Source organism: Homo sapiens, chromosome 17, assembly GCF_000001405.40.
Source record: "Homo sapiens chromosome 17, GRCh38.p14 Primary Assembly".
Taxonomy (NCBI): domain Eukaryota; kingdom Metazoa; phylum Chordata; class Mammalia; order Primates; family Hominidae; genus Homo; species Homo sapiens.
In genome coordinates this window covers 35,143,799-35,166,965 of record NC_000017.11, presented here as the reverse complement: position 1 = coordinate 35,166,965, position 23,167 = coordinate 35,143,799, and the positions used below count along the sequence as shown (strand labels likewise).

The 23,167-nt window shown below is 47.2% G+C and overlaps 1 protein-coding gene across 5 annotated transcripts in view, besides 2 other annotated features; it reads right to left on the bottom strand.

The window, feature by feature from the left end:
• Nucleotides 1–19,149, bottom strand: part of UNC45B (unc-45 myosin chaperone B) — a 41,529-nt gene extending 22,380 nt beyond the window's left edge. For 2 of the 5 annotated variants that reach the window (XM_017024234.2, NM_001267052.2), the window contains exons 1-9: nt 19,056–19,149; nt 18,535–18,702; nt 17,957–17,993; nt 16,743–16,918; nt 13,984–14,073; nt 12,225–12,392; nt 11,502–11,670; nt 7,421–7,591; nt 2,800–2,971 (exon numbers count right to left, since the gene is read on the bottom strand). In XM_017024234.2, the coding sequence (XP_016879723.1) occupies nt 2,800–2,971; nt 7,421–7,591; nt 11,502–11,670; nt 12,225–12,392; nt 13,984–14,073; nt 16,743–16,918; nt 17,957–17,993; nt 18,535–18,702 (1,151 nt within the window). In that variant the 5' untranslated portion in view covers nt 19,056–19,149. Of the gene's footprint in view, nt 1–2,799; nt 2,972–7,420; nt 7,592–11,501; nt 11,671–12,224; nt 12,393–13,983; nt 14,074–16,742; nt 16,919–17,956; nt 17,994–18,534; nt 18,706–19,055 lie in introns of those variants that run through there. The other 3 variants (NM_173167.3, NM_001308281.1, NM_001033576.2) reach the window with 2 other exon arrangements.
• Nucleotides 6,194–6,364: a silencer, noted in NCBI's record as "fragment chr17:33487621-33487791 (GRCh37/hg19 assembly coordinates)". NCBI's record gives its function as "represses an EF-1alpha promoter that drives an FKBP-Casp9 reporter gene in an ReSE screen in K562 erythroleukemia cells {active_cell/tissue: K562}" and the evidence as "EXISTENCE:reporter gene assay evidence [ECO:0000049][PMID:32094911]".
• Nucleotides 15,602–15,896: an enhancer, noted in NCBI's record as "identical tiled regions #3440 and #5406; HepG2 Activating DNase matched - State 11:FaireW, and K562 Activating DNase matched - State 11:FaireW". NCBI's record gives its function as "activates a minimal TATA promoter and a strong SV40 promoter by Sharpr-MPRA in HepG2 and K562 cells {active_cell/tissue: HepG2 | K562}" and the evidence as "EXISTENCE:reporter gene assay evidence [ECO:0000049][PMID:27701403]".

The following is a 23,167-nucleotide window of genomic DNA, read 5'->3' as shown; positions in this document are numbered from 1 at the left end:
GATGCTTCTCATCTGCCCAGGTTGGTGCATTGTGGGAAACAGGGCAGATGTGCACAGTGGAAATGCAGCTGTGTATAAATGCAAGAAGGCAGCGTGGACTGGTCAGGAGAACTCCACACCAAGAGTCCAAGACCTGGGCTCTGGTCCCATGTCTGCCTCTGATTGCTGGAGGATCTCAGGCAAGTTCCCCTGGGGAAGAGGACTCAGCTTTGGAAGCTCTGACAGCCCCTCCAGCTTGAGCATCCCATGTCCTGTGCCTCATCTCTCCACTCAGTGCCCAGGGAACCAGCATCCTTCGTAATTAGTTGCGGTCTGACCTTTGAGCTGGCACTGGGTCCCCACACAGCCCCCGCCCCTGATGAAGCGGGATGTATTCCACTCTTGCTAGGGGCAGGCTGGGGCACCATTTGATGAAGGCAGTGACCCCTCCTCTCAGCATTCCACAGGCTGACAGGAGGGAGCCTCAATCAACAAGCCCAAACAAGAACTAGCTGGATGACAGGTAATGGGAGTCAGTTGGGGACCTCATGAGGGACTCAAGAAGTCAGCAGGAAAAGTTGAAACTGAGGTAGAGAAAGACAGAAGCCTTGAAAAGACCTAAGTGAACCAAAGTCAGGGTGAGCAGAAGCCGTGGGGTAGAGAAGGAGTTGGCAAATCCAGGGAGTTGAGAATAGCTTTCACATTATTTTATTTTATTTGAGACGGGGTCTCACGCTCTTGCCCAGGCTGGAGTGCAGTAGTGCATTCAAGGCTCATTGCAGCCTTGACCTCCTGGGCTCAAGTGATCCTCCTACCTCAGCTTCCCAAGTAGCTGAGACTACAGGGGTGTGCCACCACACTTGACTCATTTTTAATTTTTTTTTTTTTTTTTTTTTTTTTAGAGATGAGGGTCTCTCTACATTGCCTGGGTTGGTCTCAAACTCCTGGTCTCAGGCAATTCTCCCACATCGGCCTCCCAAAATGCTAGGATTACAGGCATGAGCCACCACACCTGGCCAGCAGCTTTTTGCCTTTCTTTTTTCTTTTTGAGATGGAGACTTGCTCTGTCACCCAGGCTGGAGTGCAGTGGTGCGATCTTGGCTCACTACAACCTCTACCTCCTGGGTTCAAGCGATTCTTCTGCCTCAGCCTCCCTAGTAGCTGAGATTACAGGCATGTGCCACCATACTCGGCTAATTTTTGGTATTTTTAGTAGAGATGGGGTTTCACCATGTTGGTCAGGCTGGTCTTGAACTCCTGACCTCAGGTGATCCGCGCTCCTCGGCATCCCAAAGTGCTGGGATTACAGGCGTGAGCCACTGTGCCCAGCCAGCTTTTTGCATTTTAAAGGATTTTTAAAAATATGTTGACAGAGACTTATCTGTCCCACAAATACTAAAATATTTACTCTCTGGCCCTTCATAGAAAAAGTTTGTTGACCCCTGGAATATAGAAAGGAAAAGCAGAGTAAAGGCAACGTCTTCACCCACCTAAGACTCACCTGGAGTGCTTTTAAGCATGCAGCTTCCTGAGCCACACCCCAAACTACCGAGTCAAGAGGGGATGTCTCAGAAATCTGAATAATTTACAAGTCTGGGAATCACTGCAATAAAGAATTAAAAGGTCATGCACTGGAGTCACACTGATGCTGGAGCACCAGTGAGGAGACTCAGGAACTGCAGCTGCTGAGGGTCCTAACCCCTGTCTAGCTCTGCAAAGCCACATGAGTCTTAGTCTTGAAAGAACCGGGCCTCCCTCCTTGACAAGCTGACATGTGTTCCTTTCAACCACAGAAGCCAGTGGTAGGTATAAAATATGTCCATGGCTGGGCAAGGTAGTTGATGCCTGTAATCCCGGCACTTTGGGAGGCAGAGGCAGGAAGATTGCTTGAGCTTGGGAGTTCAATACCAGCCTGGGAAACATAGCAAAACAAAAAATACAAAAATTAGCCAGGCGTGGTAGTGCACACTTATAGTCTCAGCTACTTGGGAGGCTGAGGCAGAGGCAGGAGGATCGCTTGAGCCCAGCAGGCTGAGGCTGCAGTGAGTCATGATCATGCCACTGCACTCCAGCCCGGGTGACAGAAAAAAAAAAAAATTAGCCCAGCATGGTGGCAAGTGCCTGTAGTCCCAGCTACCCTGGGAGGCTGAGGTAGGAGGATTACATGAGCCCAAAAGTTCGAGGCTGCAGTGAGCTATGATTGTGTCACTGCACTCCAGCGTGGGGAACAGAGTGAGACTCTGTCTCAAAAAATAAATAAAATAAAATATGTCCAAAAATATGTTGACACCCCTGCCTTCAAAAGCTGAAACCTAATTTCTTCCCCTTAAACATAGGTCAAACTTACTGACTTGCTTCTAACGAATAGAATGTGGCGGAAGTGATGACATGTGTCTTCTGAGGCTAGATAGAGAAGACATCTCCCTGCTGCCTTGCTCTGTCTTGGCTCTCTTACTGTGGCATGCCAGCGGCATGCAGTGAAGACGCTTCAGCAGGCTGCAGAGAGGTCTGCAGGGAGAGGAACCAAGGCCTCCCACCAACAGCCAGCACCAGTGTGCCAGCTGTGTGAGTCCACCATCTTGGAAGCATTTTCCAGCCCCAGTCAAGCCTCCAGATGGCTGCAGCCCCAGCCAGCATATGACTGTAACTTCATGAAAGACCATAAGCCAGAGCCACCCAGCCAAACCACTCCCAAATTTCTGTTCTGGTGTGAGATAATAAAACACTATTGTTTGAGCTGCTAAATTTTGAGATAATTTGTTACACAGCCATAGATAACCAAGACAGAGCCTGACCCTGTGAGGCCTCCAGGAAACTTACGTGATATATTCCTCACAGATCTTGCGGAAGTGATCGCGCTCCGGGTCACAGCGCAGGTCATCATAGAGCTTGTTGATGAGGATAGAGGCCAGCATGCGGGTGTTGTCAGTCAGGGGCAGGCAGGATGGCAGATCTGGAACCTGCCCCACAACCTTCAGGATCTTCCTCAGACCTGCAGGGTAGACAGTGGCAAGCCTAAGATTCCTGCTGGGCTCCATCCTCACACACACCCCTCACTCAGTGACTTGTTATCATCAGCTTCTCTCCAGCCCTGTCTGTAGAAAACATGTGGTTCATCCAGAATGAAAGGGCCTAGAATGGGGTCAAAGGACCCAGGTTATACACCTGACACTGCCCCCAGCTTGACCAATTCACCTCCCTCTAGGGGCCTCTATTTTCATGTGTACAAAATCAGGACTAGTCGATCTCAGAGGACTCTACCAGTGCTGACATTCCATGGGCTGATGTATAGTCTTCTCCAAATACTATTTCATATTCCCTTCCTCAAGCCTCAGCTTCTTCATTTGTAAAATGGGAATAATACTACCTACCTCATAAAGTTTGAGGGCTCAATGAGATAATGTATGGAAACTCTACTATCAATCCAGACACACTACTATGACTCAATAAATGTTTATTATTGAGTGTGTATTTATTAAGTATTTATTTAGTAAATGCCATATTTACATTTATGATGATGATGATGATGTCTTCTCATCTCTTCTGTTGAAAAATCTTCAATGGCTTCCTATTACCGTTGGGCAAATTCAACAGTCATGTCTTTGTTAAATAAATGAGCACCTTTGGGGTACTGGCTACCAAAATAACAGATACAACCCTGACCTCCAAAAGCTCACAATACAATAGGGAAAACTGACATATGAAGATTGCAATGAGATGTGATAAGTATAGAAGGGTAACACTGAAGATGAGGTGATTCACTTCAACAAAATAAGATCTGCAATTTATTCTGAGCACTTACTACGTGCCAAGAGCTTTATACACATTCACTTCATCTAATCCTAACAATAACCCTGCTGGTTAGGAATCATTATTTCCATCTTTCAGAGGAGAAAAACAAGACTTAGAGAAGTCAAGTAAGTTGCCCAGGACAAGTCAAGTAAGTTGCCCAGTGACATAGCAAGGACACGCTCCCAATCCCGTCTGATTTCAAAGCCTGTGATGTTAGCTGTTATACTATGTTGCCTCTGGGGCAACAGAGAGATGGATTTCGGAGCCAGGTTTTAGAGGTGGCTTGGAGCTGGTCAGACCTTGTGTAGTACAGGGAAGTGGGAGAAAGAACATTCCAGGTAAAAGCTGGGAGGCATGAAACTCTAGATGTTAGGAGGGAATTAAAAGTGCCTGGAACCAGCCTGGCCAACATGGCAAAACCCCGCCTCTACTAAAAATACAAAAAAATTAGCTGGGCATGGTGGCGGGCACCTGTAATCCCAGCTGCTTGGGAGACTGAGGCAGGAGAACTCAGGAGGTACAGGTTTCAGTGAGCCAAGATCACGCCATTGCACTCCAGCCAGGGCTACAAGGGCAAAACTCTGTCTCAAAAAAAAAAAGTGCCTGGAAGTGGCTTGGTGGCTCATGCCTGTAATTCCAGCACTTTGGTTAGGCCGAGGTGGGAGGACCACTTGAGCCCAGGAGTTTGAGACCAGCCCGGGCAACAGACCCATCTTCCCATATGAAAGAAAAAGAAAAAGAAAGCGCCTGGCAGTAAATTTTGTGCTATGTACATTTTACCACTTAAAGGAAAACTTCTGTTTCCTCCCTAAACTACTCCTACTCTCAGAGCTTACTTCTGACACTGGATGGGTGTCCTACAATTCAACGCTGACACTAACCACTTGGGGTTAGCACAGACTCCACAGGTTAAGGGCTCAATCCCACAAGACTACCCTCCTTCGGATGCCAGCCTCAAGTCCAAGTTGCCACCTGTGCTTCTGACTGGCCAACTATAAATCAGAGATTCCCATGACCCTCTCCCTCAGGTTTGATAATTTGCTAGAATGGCTCACAGAACTCAGAAAACCAGTTTAGTTACTAGATTACCAATTTATTATTTAAACAACAACAACAACAAAAACAGAAACTCAGGAACAGCCAGATGGAAGAGATGCAGAGGGCAAGGTATTGGCAAGGGGCGTGGCACTTCCATGCCCTCTCCAGGTAGCCATCCCTCCAGCACCTCCATGTGTTCACCAAATTGGGAGCACTTTAAGCCCCTTTGGCTAGGGATTTTTTTTAAATAGAGGCTTCATTATGTAGGCACGGTTGATTAAATCATTAGTTATTAGTGATGAATCCCACCTCCAGCCCCTCTCCCCTTCCTGGAGGTAAGGGGTGGGGGGCCGAAAGTTCCAATCCTGTAATTGCATGGTTGTTTCCCCTGGCAACCAGCCCCCATTCTGACATTCTGAGGTTATCTAGGGGATCCCAGCCACCAGTTATTACATGAGCATACAAAAAGATACTTATCACTTCAGAGGTTAGCTGTGTGCCAGGAAACAGCAGCAGAGACCAAATATGTGTATTTCTTATTATGCAACAAGCATGCATTTAAAAAGTGCTCAGTAGGGCTGGGGAGTAACAGGAAGTGCCTGATGAGCCAACACAGACTCCCCAGCCTGGGTCCTAAAAGCATCCCTCAAATGCCCCTCTCCAATCTCATCTCCCGGTCTCCCCTTCCATTCTTGCCCATGCCTTGAGCATCTCATTTCTCTTCTGTTCAAACACTCTAGACCTTCCTCCTGTCTATCTTTGCCCCTTCTCTCACCCAAAAGCTCACTTCGGGTTTGACATCCTGACAGCTCCCTTACCGTGCCTCCCAGCCCAGTTTGCACAACACATAACACCTCAACATTGCAGCTTTGTATTCGAATATCTGAATTTTTAAATCCACATTATTTTTACCCAAGTGCTGTCCATGTTGGTGCCCTTTACAAAAAGAACAGAATAAAAAATACTGCTCTCTACCTGTCCCATCCCATAACACGTGGATGAGCCTAGATCCTGGTGCTGAGAGAGAAGATCTGTTGTTAACGCTCACGTTTCATGACATATGTGGAGAAGACCAGAATGAGGCAGGGAGGAAGTGGGGTTTGGGCATTTAGCAGTAGGGTAATGTGTTAAAGTCTAAGCACTTGCACATGCACTTTGCTGAGGTCTATAAAAACCAAACAAGGGAAGTGCAATATCAAAAGACATTCTTTAAGCTGGGAAGAGCTGATCTGAATCTTTTAGAACAAGGTATAGTCTGTGTGTCATAAAACCTACGGAAGAATTTACCATAGCAGATCATGAAACCACAGGTATGATTCCTTAACAATCAAAGAAGTTGATTGAGGAGAGGGGTAACACCTCGGAGCTGACAAATTGAGTGACTGTCTGCTAGAACACATGAAAGGAAAATAAAATCTTGGCCCGGTGCCATGGCTCGCGCCTGTAATTCCAGCACTTTGGGAGGCCGAGGTGGGAGGATCACTTGAATCCAGGAGTTTGAGACCAGCCTGGGCAACATAGTGAAACCACATCTCTACAAAAGAAAAACATTAGCCCGGCATGATGGTTCGTGCCTGTGGTCCCAGCTACTCGGGAGGCTGAGGGGTAGGAAGATCACTGTAGCCCAGGAGTTTGAGGTTGCAGTGACTATGATCACGCCACTGCACTCTGGCATGAGCAGCAGAGTGAGACTCTGTCTCTAAAAAGAAATAAATAGATAGATACACAAAAATGAAATCTTGGGACCCCCAACTCCCTAAACCAAAGGAAAAAAATTAAGCTGAAAGCTGAATCATGGCAAGAAACTGCCTTTCCTTTTATTCCTAAGCAGATAGCTACAGATAAAAGGTTAAATATCTCCAAAGGTTTAATAAATTACTCTAGGGCTTAAATATGTCCATTCTATGTTCACCTTATCTTATGTAAAGTGATCATTTACTGAGCAGGAGACAAATATGTAATTGACTATTTGACTATTCCCCTACCTCCTCCTTTCTCTTCCAACATGTGCATTCATGTAATGTGACCACACCCTCCCTCTTTCCCCTCCAGGCTGTCTTTCCCCTTGAAATATTGAAGCCCTTAAAATCATCTTTGGAGAAAGGCTCAGACCACAGACTGTTTCTGTGATTCTGTGTTTCCTCTCTGCGGGGCATGTCCGTAATCTTGGCAAAATAAACTTCTAAATTGATTGAGACCTGTCTCAGATACTTTTGGGTTTACAAACATTCTCACTGTGCTTTATATAAACTATACTTGATGCAATTTCCTCCCTTTTGAAAGGCCTGTGAAGTATTTTACCAACCATGAGACTTCTGGAATTTTATCCTGTGGTTGGTGGAGTCCTTGTCCCCATTTGCTAGGTTGCTTCACCCACATGTTTTGGGGATGTGTTTGGGCACTTCCTGGGCATGTTCAGGCTCTGAATTCAGAGCCTTGACCTGCACCTTCACAGGCCCACTGGTGGATCCTGATGGGCCAATGCCTTTTCTCATCTTTTCAGTTAGAACTGAAGACCCCTTCAAGAGCCTCACATCTTCCATTTTCTGTTCAGTGCCCTGGTGCCCACTTAAAAGGCTTGAGCAAGCCCCAAACCTTCCCCTCTTCTCACCATTATCCACCACATAGATGGTACGTGAGTTGTCATGAATGGCAAGGTCCTTCCTGGGAACATTCTTATTGAGCAGGTTCAGCGCCTGATCCCTGCCCTGGCCAGACACCTTCTTGCTGACTAGCATGTCCAGCAGGTGGCTGGTGATCTGCTTCAGGTCCTTCTTGGTGTCTGAAGAAAAAGAGGACGGGGTAAGTAGAGAGGGGTAGGAAATCTCACATATATATGACCAAGAAGAGCAGCAGCTTCTAGACTCTGGAAGTACTGAATCCACTACTTCCTGAATATGTGAATTCCCAGGGGAGTATAGTGTTGCCCATCTCACCTGGAAAAAGGGAGAGAAATCCCTAGACAACACCCCCAAGTGGTCCTCCAGCCACCCTGAACCCTGACTTCTACAACAGCTCATTCCATCCTTGAGCAGTTCAGATTCTTAGAAAGTTCTTCACTCCTACCAGTGACTGGCAGAGATCCAGGGATGCTTTATGTGGTTTCTAATAAACTGATTTAATAAAATGCTTTCCAGAAGGGGAATTTGTACTTTTTAGGGACATTTCACTCCCCACAGATTCAGGCATGCTGGGAGCCTGAATTCAAGCTTTTGCCTGTGACGCCGGGACTTCCTGCCCACTGGTAGATCTTAAAAGGCAAATGCCTTTTTTTCTGATTTTGCCCTCCAAGATACTTAGAGATTTTTGTTCTCATTCTAGGATGGAGCCCAAAGGCAGGCAAACCAAAAAGTAAAGCTCTCCAAACCATGTCAGATAAATAACTGATGAAGGAATACAGCTCCATCGCCTAAAGAAGGAAAGATGTAAGCAGATGTGACAGTTCGTCTTCAGACAGAGGCATGTCATGAGAGTGAGATAACAGACTCCTTCTGTGAGGCTCCAGAGGGCAGACTTTGGACCAGAGGCAGATGGAAGCTACAAGGGGATAGAGTGGAAATCAATATGTGGAAGAATTTTGTAGCAGAGATGTTCAACCCAAGGAAGTCATGGAAGATTGTGAATTGGTGTCTCCCTGGGAAACACGACACTCATTATAAATGCTCTTGGGTAATCTCCTCCAACACTGGCCCTGGGCTGCTTATGTGACCTGTGGCACAACCAGAGGCTTACATGGCACTTGCACATTGGGGCTTGTCCATTTAGAATCCAGCCACCATGTTCTATAGAAACCCAAGCTGGCCACTAGCAAGGCCACAAGATCAACAAGGTCACAAGGCCACAAGGTCAACATTTCCAGTTGACTGCCAGCCACACAAGCAGGGCCATCTTGGATCTTCCAAAAATTCTAGCTCAGAAAAGGAAAGTGACTAGCTGACCATTATAATAATAGTAAGTCAGAGTCACATCAAGAATCCAGGACTTCAGGGCTGGGCGCAGTGGCCTGTAATCCCAATATTTTGGGAGGCCACAGCAGGAGGATCACTTGAGGCCAGGGGTTTGAGACCAGCCTGGGCAAGAAAGTGAGACCCTGTCCCTATGAAAAATTTAAAAATTAGCCAGGCATGGTGGCACGAGCCTGTAGTCCTAGTAACTCCAGAAGCTGAGGTGGAAGGATTGAGCCCAGAAGTTTGAGGCTGCAGTGAGCTGTGATTGCATTACTACAGTCCAGCCTGAATGATAGACAAGACTCTGTCTCAAAGCAAACAAACAACAAAAAAAAACTCTTATAGACAAATAAGAACAACATTAAGAAATAGGTAACAACATGAACAAACCATCCAAAGACAAAGGAATCCAAATGGCTAATAAAGATACAGAAAAATGATCAATCTGATGAATAATTTAGTTTGAATCTAACACGATAATTTTGAATCTACTGGATAGGCAAATATCTTTAAGAAGGATAGCATTCAGATCTGATGAGAATGTGTTAAAATGGAGACTCTCATCATTGCTTGTGAGAGTATAAATTGATGCAGCCTCTCAGAAAGGAATTAGAGAGCAAGATATAGAAAGAACATTAGTTATTCTCATAGCCTTTGACCCAGTGCTCCTTTTCTAGGAATTTGACCCCAGGAAATAATTATAAATGTGGCCAGGTATGGTGGCTCACACCTGTAATCCCAGTACTTTGGGAGGCAGAGGCGGGCGGATCACCTGAGCTCAGGAGTTTGACACCAGCCTGGCCAACATGGTAAAACCCCGTCTCTACTAAAAATACAAAAATTAGCAGAGGCTGAGGCAGGAGAATCGCTTAAACCCGGGAGGTGGAGGTTGCAATGAGCTGAGATCGTGCCACCGCACTCCAGCCTGGGCAACAGAGCAAGACTCCATCTCAATAAATAAATAAATAAATATAAATAAATAAAAATAAATTATAAATGCAAGCATAGATGCAAAAATGGCTCCTGGAGAGTTTTGTATAAACATGCAAATTGGAAATAACTGGAATCTCCAATAATATAGAGCTGATTGATGAATAATCCATACAAGGGAAGATTATGATATTCTTGAAAATAAAGTTTTCTGAGTGAACCTGCCTCTTTGGCCCTCCCAGCCAGAGCAATATCTTCTAAATTGATGCCTAGGACCTGGATGTGCACGGAGAAGCATGAGTCTGTATGTGCATATGCAGGAAACAAATGTAAAATTAATTATTAAAATCAAAGGAGTCCTTTTAAAGAATATTAAATGGTATGCAATATTAATATAATGCTCAGTGCAGAAAAAAACATATAACTATTCATAGCAGAATTCCAATTTTGTTAAATATTGATGGTTTAAAAAAAAAGAGAGGAAAGATCCATGTGGTAATGGTAATAGTGATTACCTGAATGGGTAATTATAGGCATTTATTCTCATTTTTACGTAGTTCTATATTTTCCCAAATGTCTTCAATAAGCCTCTGTTACTTTTTTTAAGCTGTGGTAAAATTTACATAAAATTTACCATTTTAACCTTTTTTTTTTGAGACGGAGTCTCACTCTGTCACCCGGGTTGGAGTGCAGTGGTGCAATCTCGGCTCACTGCAAACTTCGCCTCCCCGGCTCAAACGATTCTTCTGCTTCAGCCTCCCAAGTAGCTGGGATTACAGGCATGCGCCACCATGCCCGGCTACTTTTTGTATTTTTAATAGAGACAGGTTTTCACCATGTTGGTCAGGCTGGTCTTGAACTCCTGACCTCATGATCCATCCACCTCGGCCTCCCAAATTGCTGGGATTACAGGAGTGAGTCGCTGCACCTGGCCCCATTTTAACCATTTTTAAGTGTTCAGTTCAGTGGCATTAAGTATATTCACATCATTGTGCAAACATCACCACAATCTATCCACAGAATGTTTTTCATCTTGCAAAACTGAAACTTTGTCCCCATTAGAAAATAACCCGCCATTTCCCCTCTTCCATCCTCTGCCAAACACTATTCTACTTTCCATCTCCATGAATTTGACTACTCTAAGTATCTCATATGAGTGGATTCATGCAGTATTTGTCTTTTTGTGGCTGGCTTATTTCACTAGCATAATGTCCTAATGTTCATTGACGTTGTTGCATGTGTCAAATTTTCCTTTCTTTTCAAGGCTGACTAATATTTCATTGTATGTATATACCATATTTTGCTCATCCAGTCACCCACCAATAGACGCTTGAGTTGTATCCATCTTTTAGCAATTGTGAATACTGCAGCTATGCCTGTTACTTTTATAATCAGAAAATACATATAACAGGCCAGGTGTAGTGGCTCATGCCTGTAATCCTAGCACTTTGGGAAGCCAAGGCAGGCAGATCACCTGAGGTCTGGAGTTTGAGACCAGCCTGGCCAACATGAAGAAACCCTGTCTCTACTAAAAATACAAAAATTAGGCAGGCATGATGGTGTGTGCCTGTAGTCCCAGATACTCGGGAGGCTGAGGCAGGAGAAGTGCTTGAATCCAGGAGGTTGCAGTGAGTCTAGATCGCGCTACTGCACTCCAGCCTGGGTGACAGAGTAAGACCCCATCTCAAAAAAAGAGAAGAAAAGAAAATACATAAAACCAAGCCACCCCCACATACAGGGAATTCCCAGTCTGAGGTAGCAACTGACCTTTTCTTTCCCCATCCCCTTGAATCAAAACTGAAGAATGTTTCCTACCTAGAACCAGGGCCTCCTCCTTCCCTCGATGCTCCCGCTTGTCCTCCCCAGACAAGGAGTCAATGATGGCTTGGAGCAGGTTGCAGACAGCCAGAGACATCTCCTCATTCTCCACGGCCATGAGGCTACAGATTCGGTCTATCCGCACTGCATGCAGAATCACTGTGGCCTAGAACCCCAGCAAGAACCATGGTCAGCTGCCTTGCCCCTCCCTTCTAGCTGCCATGCAGGTTAGAGAGGGTGTGATAATCCTCCCCACCCTATCCCATGCAGTAGAGAAATCAGCCCAGGCAGCCATTGCCTCATGGGCCCCTCTGTCCTGGAAACCTCTTGACAACAAGCCATGCCCATCTCTGGAGGTCAGAGCTGTGCCATCCAATACAGTGACCACCGGCCACATGGGGCCGTTGAGCTCTTGCACGGTGGCAGGACCATATGGAGATATGCTGTAGTGTGAAATACACACTGGGTTTCAAAGACTTAGCATGAAAAAATGTAAAATATCATAGCCTTTGCATTCATCACTTCTGCCTTAGGCACTTTCAGTAACTTGTCTTTGCTTAGTGAAACCCATTTCCAACTGAAAGGGAAAAAGAGACTGGAGCACCCTTTGACTTTTTATCTGGTTCCATTGATGCCAGCCACAGCCCTGACCACACGTCACCCTCCGGATCCTTGGACCAGCAGTCGTCTGCTCCACATGCCCCACAGCCGGGCACTTACTCTGGCTTGGTGGCCGCTGCACATGCCCGACAGGGTCCGCACTGCAGCCAGCACCAGCTCAGGCTTCTTAGTGTCCAGAAGCTGCAGTAGCAAGGCTACTCCATTGTTCTGGAAGATCTTCTCAGCCCCTGCTTCCTCACGGCCTAGGACAATGAGATTGTTGGCAGCCTGAAGGAGGAAGAGGCAATAAGGGTTACGAGGGAGGTACGGCCACCCAGGCCTGGACCATGGGCCAAGTACAAGAAGAGCCAGTGCAAAGACTGGATCTTCAGAACATTGTTCTATTATCTCACCTTGGTAATCCTCCTCCTGGAAACACAGCCCAAGAACATAATTCAAGAAAAAAAGCCAAGTAATTTGCATCAAGACCAGCTGGATGAAATATATTGCAGCCATTAAAGTCATGAATAAAAAGACTAAGAGCAATGGAAAAAGCATTGGTATGCAGAATCAGGATCAAATGTTTACTCCAATTGCACTTATGTTAAAATAAAGATGTATATAATGCTTACAGAGAAGGACTAGAAAAAAGGTGGAGAAATGAAGTGTTTTTACATGGAGAATGATTTCCTTAAACATTTTGTTGATTTTCCTGTTCAGGGGAATCTGAAGTTCCCAGGAAGTGAGCAGCAAAAACACTAGATGGGACCTGAAAGCCCTGGGTTTGAGTTCTGATTCTGCTCCCTGCTAGCTGTATGAGCTTGGGTGAGTCACGGCACTTCTCTGGACCCCAGACTCTTCATCTGTAAATTTAGGCAGTTGAGCAAGCAGGTTCCCAAGTCTCTTCCCACCTAAAGCCTTCCAACTTAAGGATGCATGAACCTTAAAATAAAAGGCTCCAGGTCTCAAGCAGGACCTGAGAACCCAGGGCTGAGAAACACAGGAGGTGGAAGAAGGGGAAGGGGAGGAGGTGGGCAAAGAGATGTTGAGTTGGGTGCTGGGGAGAGGGCTGATTAGAGAATTCCAGGCAAGCGTGACCAGAACCATCACTATCAACTAAGGGCTTTGTACTTTTCCAAAAAAAAAAAAACCAAATAAACAAAAAAAACAAACCAAAAAACTTTATTTTATCTATAACAACTTATTATGTTCTCACAAGAGTTTGTTAAGAAAGATATTTGCCTAGTTTATGGATTTATTGAACATAAAACTAACAAAAATTCCCCATTGTCTCTCAAGTTCTTGCAAATGTAAAACACTCGAATGTTCAATTTTTTTCCCCTGCAGAAACACTAGAAGGAAACATAAAAAAAAAAGGTAACAAGTTTGGTTAAGAGGATGATTATGTTGGTAAATATTTAAATTTTTCAGAATGACTTCTTTCAATATTTTTTAATGAAATAAAATGTTATTTTAATGGGCCCGTTATTTCTTAGGGCCGAAATTATAGTGAGGCCAGTGAGGTACTTGCCTTGGGTGCAAAATTTAAAGGGGCACCAAAGAACTCAATAATCGAATAATAATCAATGCTATATTTTTAAAAATCAAAATCAATGCCAGAAAAATCCATGATGAACAAAACATCAAAATTTCAAATAAAGACAGGATCCAACCTTGCTGCATGACTCTCCTCACTAGATTCACCCAAATCTCAGTCCTTCTTATGGTTTACACTGTGTTCCAATGTGCTTAACCTTTGGCCAATTTTCCTTCCTGGGCTGCAAAGACAGGCCTCCGGTCCCCCTTCCCCCTCGGAATGATGTCACTGTCCAGACTGGCGGGTCCTTCTGCTGGCTGGATGGCACTGGCCAGCACTCACCTTTTCCCGCTTATCAGCCTCACTGTTTTCATCCAAGAGGATCTCAAACATCTTCTGTACCCTCGAGTCTGTGGAGAACTGCACTCGGAGCTGAGGAGAGAGGAGGGAGTGGGGAAGGAGGCAGGTGGGGTCCACGTCATTTCAGCTCCACATTCAGTTCATCTCAGTAAATATCAGGTGTCTACTCTGGGCTCCCGCACATACGTTCATTCATGTATTCATTCGACAAACATTTACTGGATAAGTACGATGAATTAATAAATACAATAGAATTGTGAACAAAATCAAGTCCTTGCCCCTGAAGGCTCACCATCTGGTTACATTTGTTATCCCATTTAGACATCACAATAGTCTGGGAAGGCGTAAAGGATCTTCAGCCAAGTTTTAGAGTCTAGTAAACAATCTGCTATTAGACATTTAAATAGGGATAAAACAGAAATATGTCTCCATACTCAGAATCCTGAAGCAGCTTTCTTTCTTTTTAACACACTTGAAATGTAGACGAAGCAGCTTTCAAGCTCTGTTTCAAGCAAATTGAACTCATTTTGTTTGGATATCTAGTCCCTCACAGTCCCCACTCCAACCCCACTGCCCTGGGTCCTCCATAAAGTGACCTAACTGATCATCATCCTTCACTCCGCCAGCTCATTTTGAACCTCCTGTTACTTTGTTTGGGGGGGTCCACACTACTCCCACCTACTTCTGAGCACATTTTTTAATTTTTAATTTTTTTTTTTGAGATGCAGTCTTGCTCTGTCACCCAGGCTGGAGCGCAGTGGCACGATCTCTGCTCACTGTAACCTCTGCCTCCCAAGTTCAAGTGATTCTCCTGTCTAAGCCTTCTGAGTAGTTGGGATTACAGGCATGTGCCACCACGCCCAGCTAATTTTTTTATTTTTAATAGAGATGGGGTTTCACCATGTTGGCCAGGCTGGTTTCGAACTCCTGATGTCAGGTGATTCACCAACCTCGGCTTCCCAAAGTGTTGGGATTACAGGCGTGAGCCACCGCACCCAGCCTATTTTTAATTTATTTTTAATTTTTGGTAGGAACAGCGTCTCTCCCTATGTTGCCCAGGCTGGTCTCCAACTCCTGGGCTCAAGTGATCCTCCCGCCTTGGCCTCCCAAAGTGCTGGGATTACAGGCGTGAGCCACCACACCCAGCCTTGTGCTCATTTCCTTTGGGGGTGCGGAGAGGTCTTTCCTTCGCCTATCCCTCTCTGAATCTCTCCTTAGTTTATATTTCCTCAGTCCTTGAGTCTGCACCCTGGACAGCATGCTGTGGTCCTACCACAGGGCTTCTCCAGATGTGTAGAAGTTATTGAGTCTTGGAGCAAGGGGCTGAGTGATCAATTACCTTATGGCTCTTACAGAGAGGAAACCAACACCCCAAGAGATGCCCCACAAAAACTAGCAGCTGAGCCAGGACTAGGGTTCAGGATTTCTCACCTCTGGTCCAGGTTCTCCGCATCCTACTCCATTTCCTAGAAAATATTTTATGCTCCTGGCTCACATCAGTAATCCCAGCACTTTGGGAGGCTGAGGTGGGTGGATCACATGAGGCCAGGAGTTCGAGAGAGTCTGGCCAACATGGTGAAACCCCATCTCTATCAAAAATACAAAAATTAGAATCCCCGCCCCGCGGTGGGGCGCGGGAAATGTGGCGTACGGAAGACCCACTCCCCGGCGCCGCTCGTGTGGGGCCCAAGTCCTTCTGATCGAGGCCCGCGACCTCAGATCAGACGTGGCGACCCGCTGAATTTAAGCATATTTGTCAGCGGAGGAAAAGAAACTAACCAGGATTCCCTCAGTAATGGCGAGTGAACAGGGAAGAGCCCAGCGCCGAATCCCCGCCCCGCGGTGGGGCGCGGGAAATGTGGCGTACGGAAAAATACAAAAATTAGCCAGGTGTGGTGGTGCACGTCTGTAATCCTAGGTACTTGGGAGGCTGAGGCACAAGAATTGCTTAAACCCAGGAGAAAGAGGTTGGAGTGAGGAGCTGAGATCATGCCACTGTACTCCAGCCTGGGCAACAAAGCAAGAATCTGTCTCAAAAAAAGCAATCATGCTCCTAATGGGGCCTGGCTCTCCTCTATCCCTCATCGATGTCTTCAATTCCCATGTATTTTATAATACATAGAAAGAGAGAGAGATCATGTTGCAGACATACTAAGTTATAATAATATTTCTAAGCCTCCATCTGGAATTTTTTTGGGGGGGGCGGGGGTGGGAGAGACAGAGTCTTGCTCTGTCGCCCAGGCTGAAGTGCAATGGCACATGATCTCAGCTCACTGCAACCTCCACCTCCCAGGTTCAAACAATTATCCTGCCTCAGCCTCTTGAGTAGCTGGGATTACAGGCGCCCCCACCACATCCGGCTATTTTTTGTATTTTTAGTAGAGACGGGGTTTCCCCATGTTGTCCAGGCTGGTCTCAAACTACTTGACCTCAAGTGATCTGCCCGCCTCAGCCTCCCAAAGTATTGGGATTATAAGCATGAGCCACTGTGCCTGGCCCCATCTGGAATTTAAAAGACCTGTGTTCTAGCCTTGGCTGGCTTGTGCCCTCAAACAAGCATCACAGATAGAAGCACCTGCTTAGCTGTTCTGTGCAGCCTGCCCATGCCACTTGCTGTCTCTATCTCAGAGTGTGGAGGTAGGGCTAGCCCTGCCCTGATGACCCACCTCCCTAACCCATTCCTACTAGGAATGAAGAGAGGGGCTGGGCAGCCAAGGGTTGTGGGAAGAGGCCCAGCTCACCTTCTCCTGAATGCTGGTGTTGAGTCTCCTCAGCATCTCCTGGAAGTTCTGGTTCCGTGGCTCGAGGGTGGCACAACGCTGCACGTCTTTGAAGGCCTGGTCCAGCTTCCCCAGGTGCTCCAGTGCCTGGCATCGCCGATACAGAGCCTTGATGTCCGAGGAGTTGATGTCGATGGCTATCGAGGGGAGACGGGGGATGAGGACCTTAGGGAGCCAGACTACAGACCACCAGCCCCACTGCCCCAACTCCAGGAAGCATGCTCTTGCTTCGTTTCTGTGTCTTCCTTGGAGATTATCCATCCATGTGGACTCTCTGGCCCTTACCTCCCCTTTGTTAGGGAGACAGTAAGATCCACAGAGTTTCAAGGTGGGAAGAGAGCTTGGGGGTCATGTCATCCAATTCTTAACGCTCCAGTCTCTGCTACAGGATCCCTGCCAGGGGCTTAACCAATCGGTGCTTGCATACCTCCAGCAGTGGGGAGCTCCCTCCTCCTCAAGACAGCCAGGCGGGCCTGGCGCAGTGGCTGATGCCTGTAATCCCAACACTTTGGGAGGCCAAGGTAGGCAGATCACAAGGTCAGGAGTTCGAGACCAGCCTGGCCAACATGGCGAAACCTTGTCTCTACTAAAAATACAAAAATTAGCTGGGCGTGGTGGCAGACGCCTATAATCCCGGCTACTTGGAAGGCTGAGACAGGAGAATTGCTTGAATCCGGGAGGCAGAGGTTGCAGTGAGTTGAGATCATGCCATTGCACTCCAGTCTGGGCAACAGAGCAAGACTCCATCTCAAAAAAACAAAACAAAACAAAACCCAAAAAACAAAACAAAACAAACAACAACAACAACAAAAGACAGCCAGGCAGCTTAATCAGAAAACATTTCCCTCTCCCTGCCTGAAATGTGTTCCCTGTAACATTGCCCAGCCCTGGAACCCTTGAGATGAAATCCAATCCTTCTTCCTTGTGACAGCCTTTTAGGAATTTGAAGGCAGCTCTCTGACCCACCTGGGAGTTGCCTTTTCTGGGCTAAATATTGCAGCTTCCCTCAACTGCTCTTCACAGGATATGTTTCCAGTCCCTTCTCCAGCTTGTTCTCTCCCTTCTGAAGTCACTCCATACTCACTGTTTCTTCCCCCAAAATGGTAACTAGATTAAAACCCAGGCCATGCAGAGGAGAATGTGACAGGGCAAGCTTGGAGGTGGGAGGGGCTCACCTCTGGAGGCATCTGAAGCTGCCTGGACGTAGCTCTCCTGAGGAAAGGGGAAGGAGAAGGAGACTCGGTTAATGTGGGCCCAATGCAGAGATGGCCAGAGAGTGTCCCCACAGTGTGGGGAGAGGGTTTCCTGGGGGAGCTGCAGGCTGTCAGAGGCCCAGGGCATGCTCCTCACAGGCATGGCAAAGAGGACAGGCTTTGACATCAGGCAAACCCAGGTTTGAATCTCGGCTCTGCTACTACTTGGGAGAGCTTGGGCAAGTTAATGAATGAAGCCCTCTGGATCCCGAGTTTCTTACCTGCGATAGGGGGAGGACAACAACAGCTATCTCACGGGCCATTAGTAAGATGCCATGAATAACACATGAAAGCACCTGGCATTGGGCTGATTCTGCTCTGGATGAATTTCTGTCTTTCCGGGGCATGGGTCAGGGGGTTGGAGGCACCCTTCTCCAACCCCAGGCATCCAGGAGAGTCGGCTGGGATGAAGGGCAATTTCTATCAGGGTGAAGGGGCTGCCACTCAGCCCCAAAGCCCCTCTGCCTCACTCCCACCCTGTGCCCTGCCCTGCCCCAGACCGTTTTCAGGCCACAGGCTGCCCGGTTCCGATAAAGCGTGGCCAGCAGGGCCTTGTCCTTGGTCAGCTTCAGGGCCTGGCTGTAGCTATTTGTGGCGGCCTTGTAGTCCTGGAGCTGGAAATGCCGGTTTCCTTCCTCCTTCAGCTGTACCGCTTCCACCTCTGCCATCTGCTGGGACAGGAGAAGCTCTGTCTGGTCAGCCCCTCACTGCAGACCCAGGGCTGGGCTCCTGGCCTGAGGTCCGGAGCTCCAGGGTCCCCTCACACCAGAGAGGATGGTGGGGATTCTGCCTGGAAGGGACCCACCCCCAGAACCCCCAAATCTATTGCCCCATGAGGACATTATAGCATTTGCTCAGAGCTTGGCCCAAGTTGAGAGTCCCTGTGCCTCACTCTCTGTCCCTCCCAGCCTGAGCAGGCGAAGCTGCTTAGTTTGTGCCAAAGGCCTGAACTCTCATTGCAGGTCTTAGAAGTTTGCCGTCTCCCTCCCCAGTCCAGGGCACACCCCAGGCCCATGCTCACTTTTTCAGCAAGGACGATGCTTTCGATCTGCCCTCTTGTGATGCTGCTCCCCTGAGCACTCCTGTGTCAACCTCCAGCCAGCCAGCCTCAGTCTGCCCCTCCCAGCCCCCACCCAAGAGATTTTCTTGCCTCAGCCAGTGGCTCTGGACCATATTTGGCCACAGGGGCAGGTGCCCCTGGAGTCTGTCACTGATACTCAGGGCCCTCCCCCTCCCCAGACTGGTCAGTCATGACCACGTGGAGGTGCTGACCAGCCTCCGCCCAAGCACCCCACTCTGGGTTATCCTGGTGGGGGGCTTAGGCACTAACATTCCAAAGAGTGACAGAAAGATCCAGAAGGGACAGGAACCCCCCAGCAGACTCCCTCCCTGGGCACAGCTCTAATGCACCTCTCCACATCTATCCCAGATAAACAGCTTCCTCTCCCTCCCCTCAACCATTGCTATTTTTGGGAGCAGAGTGACAGCTGAGGGGCTGACAGACTGGGACACACAGCAGTTGCCCAGATCCCAGACCAACTGGAGAGTTCCAGAAATACCTTTCTGGAGGGAGCGGGGAAGGAACAGGGGAAGAAAGTTCCTTCCCTTTTCCACTTCTGCGCAACACCTCAACCCACCCTGCTTTCACCTGTTCAAAATGTCTTTGCTTTTCAGAAAGACCAACAGGACTTGCTAACTCAGTTTAGTGTGAGTGAGTGGTTCGTTAGTTTCGGTCCACATGCGGTCTCCTGTTCCTCCCCCTGTGTATAGAGTGGATCTATTCAGCCTACCTCTCCCATCTGACTGTTAGCTCCCAGAGAGTGGGCTTTGTGTATCCCCCATCAGGCTGAGATCTCTTAGGGCAAGGGCTGGGTCAGACTGGGAATTCCCCCGAGACCAAGGGTCCTCCCCACCCGACTGGAAACTATCCTGGGACACACTGAGGCTCCCTCCTCAGAAGGGGGTCTTCCTGGGACAAGAACTATGTATTCACCATTGCAGAGGGGTCTCTCCTGAGGCAGGAATGTTTCTCCTTAGCTAACTGGGAGTTCCTGAAGCAAATTTATGACGTTGTCCCCAGTTGGACCCAGAACTCTTCTGCATTTCAGTGCCCTCAAGCCTGGGCTGTGAGCTTCCTCCTGGAAGGCAAAGACAGCATCCCATATAGCTTGTCCCCCAACCCCCTTCCTGCACAGGTTCTGGCACATTCAGTGTCCGAAGTGTGTTTCCTGAATGGAATGAATGGATGGATGAATGAATGAATGAATGAATGGTGTCTTCATGATGATGATTTCCTCCACTCACCTCTCATCCCTCTCCCCTCCACCCCACACATATCTTCAAACTTATCTGGCCAGAGCTGAGAAAGACACTGAAGAAAATCCCAGGTGGAATCATTCATACTAGATTCTACTCGCAGACCTGTGACCTTGGACACACAGCTATATGACCTTGGACAAGTTGTAGCGCCCTGCTGGACACAAAGCCCAGCCCTAACACATGTTTGTTGAATGAGCAAATAAATGAATGAATAGATGGATGAATTCCCTGCCTTCATGTTATCACAAGCCCTGGGCCCTTTTGTGGGGCAAGCTCTCTGCAGCAATGAGGTAATAGGATAAAGGATCCTGACATTGGCAGAGACCTGCGGTTCTGTGACTTTAGGTCCAAGGGATCTTATATTCAAATGCTGATTCAGTAATTCATTCCACAAGCATTTCTTAAACATCTTTTTGTTGTTGTTGTTGTTGTTGTTTGAGACAGAGTCTTGCTCTGTTGCCCAGGCTGGAGTGCAGTGGCACGATCTCGGCTCACTGCAACCTCCACCTTCTGGGTTCAAGAGATTCTCCTGCCTCAGCCTCATGAGTAGCTGGGATTACAGACATCCACCACCATGCCTGGCTAATTTCTGTATTTTTAGTAGAGATGGAGTTTCACCATGTTGGCCAGGCTGATCTTGAACCCCTGACCTCGTGATCCACCTGCCTAGGCCTCTCAAAGTGCTGGGATTACAGGCGTGAGCCACCGCGCCTGGCCCACATTTCTTAAACATTTATTATGTGTGAGGAACTGTGAAGCATAGAACACTGGTGAGGACAAGGATTTGTGTCTATGTTGTTCCCTCACATATTCCAAGCGTTTGTAATGGTGTGGGGCACAGTGGCTGACACCTGTAATCCCAGCACTTTGGGAGGCCAAGGCAGGCGGATCACCTGAGGTCAGGAGTTCCAGACCAGCCTGGCCAACATGGCGAAACTCCATCTCTGCTAAAAACACAAAAGTTAGCCGGGCATGGTGGCGGGTGCCTGTAATCCCAGCTACTAAGGAGTCTGAGGCAGGAGAATCACTTGAACCCCAGAGGCAGAGGTTGCAGTGAGCCAAGATCATGCCACTGCACTCCAGCTTTGGTGACAGAGCAAGATTCCATCTCAAAAAAGAAGAAAAAATAAAAAGAAGGTGCTCAATGCTATTTGTTGAATGAATGAATGAATGAAATAATTCCATGGATCTGTGATTCTGTGATTTCTTTTTTTTGTTCGTTTGTTTGTTTTGGTTTTTTTTTTAATTGAGACAGGGTCTCGCTGTCACAAGTGGAAAGCAGTGGCATGATCACGGCTGACTGCAGCCTTGACCTCCCAGGTTCAAGCAATTCACCCATCTCAGCCTCCTGAGTAGCTGGGACTATAGGTGCATGCCACCTGGCTATTTTTTTTGTAGAGACATGATCTCACCATGTTGCCCAGTCTGGTCTCAAACTCCTGGGCTCAAGTGATACTCCCACCTCGGCCTCCCAAAGTGCTGAGATTACAGGTGTGAGCCACTGTGCCAGCTGGATCTGTGATTTCTAAATGTGAGGAATACCAGGATGTTTTGAAAACATACAACAGGGAAATATGACATCATATGACATCATTTCAAAGGTTTCCCTGCGTAAGTGATAAATGAGTTGATACACATAGAACTCCGACAACGTCTGGCAGAGAGTAGGCACTCAATACATTTATTGGATGAATGAATAAATATTCAAGGCAAGACCTGAAGAATGAGGAACTATTCCTGTATTAGTTGGCTCTGGCTACCATAACAAAATAGCACAGACAGGGAGGCTTCAACAACAGAAATTTATTTTCTCACAGCTCTGGAGTAGAGAAATCCAAGGTCAAGGTGCCATGAGGGTTGGTTTCTGGTGAGGCCTCTCTTCCTGGATGCAAACAGCCACCTTCTCACTGTGTCCTACTATGGCCTCATCTTTGTGTGTGCTCAGGGAGGCAGTGCGGGGGGCGGGGAGAGACAGAGAGAGAGTACTCTGGAGTCTCCTCATTTCACAAGGGCACCAGTTCTATCTGATTAGTGTCCTACCCATACAAACTCACTTATTAACCCTTCCTATGTCCTTTCAGGGCCCATCTCCAGGCCAGGCATGGTGGCTTACACCTGTAATCCCAGCACTTTGGAAGGCCTAAGACAGGAAGATCATTTGAGGCCAAGAGTTCGAGACCAGCTTAGGCAACAGAGTGACAGCCTTGTCTCTACAAAAATTTTTAAAAGTTAGCCGAGTGTCAGGTATAGTGGCACACACCTGTTGTCCTAGCTACTCAGAACACTAAGGTAAGAAGAGCACTTGAGCCTGGGAGTTTGAAGCTGTGTGAGCTATGATCACACTACTACACTCTAGTCTGGGCAACAGAGTGAGACCCTGTCTCTAAAAAAAAAAAAAAAAAACAATAATAATAATATATGCTATCTCCAAATACAGCCACATTCAGAGCTAGGGCTTCAATATATAAATTAGGGCAGAGGCGTCCAATCTTTTGGCTTCTCTGGGCCACAGTGGAAAAAGAATTGCCTTGGGCTACACATAAAATACACTAATGATAGCTGATGAGCTGAAAAAAAAAATCGAAAGAAAATCTCATAATGTTTTAAGAAAGCTTACGAATTTGTGTTGGGCTGCATTCAAAGCCATCCTGGGCTGCATGCAGCCTGTGGCCCAGGGGTTGGACAAGCTTGAATTAGGGGAAGGGCACAATTCACTCCATAACAGTTCCAGACAGAAAAAACTGCATGGGCAAAATCACTGATGCAGGAAGAGCCATGCCTTGTAAGAACTCAGAAAAAGCCAGCAAGATTTAA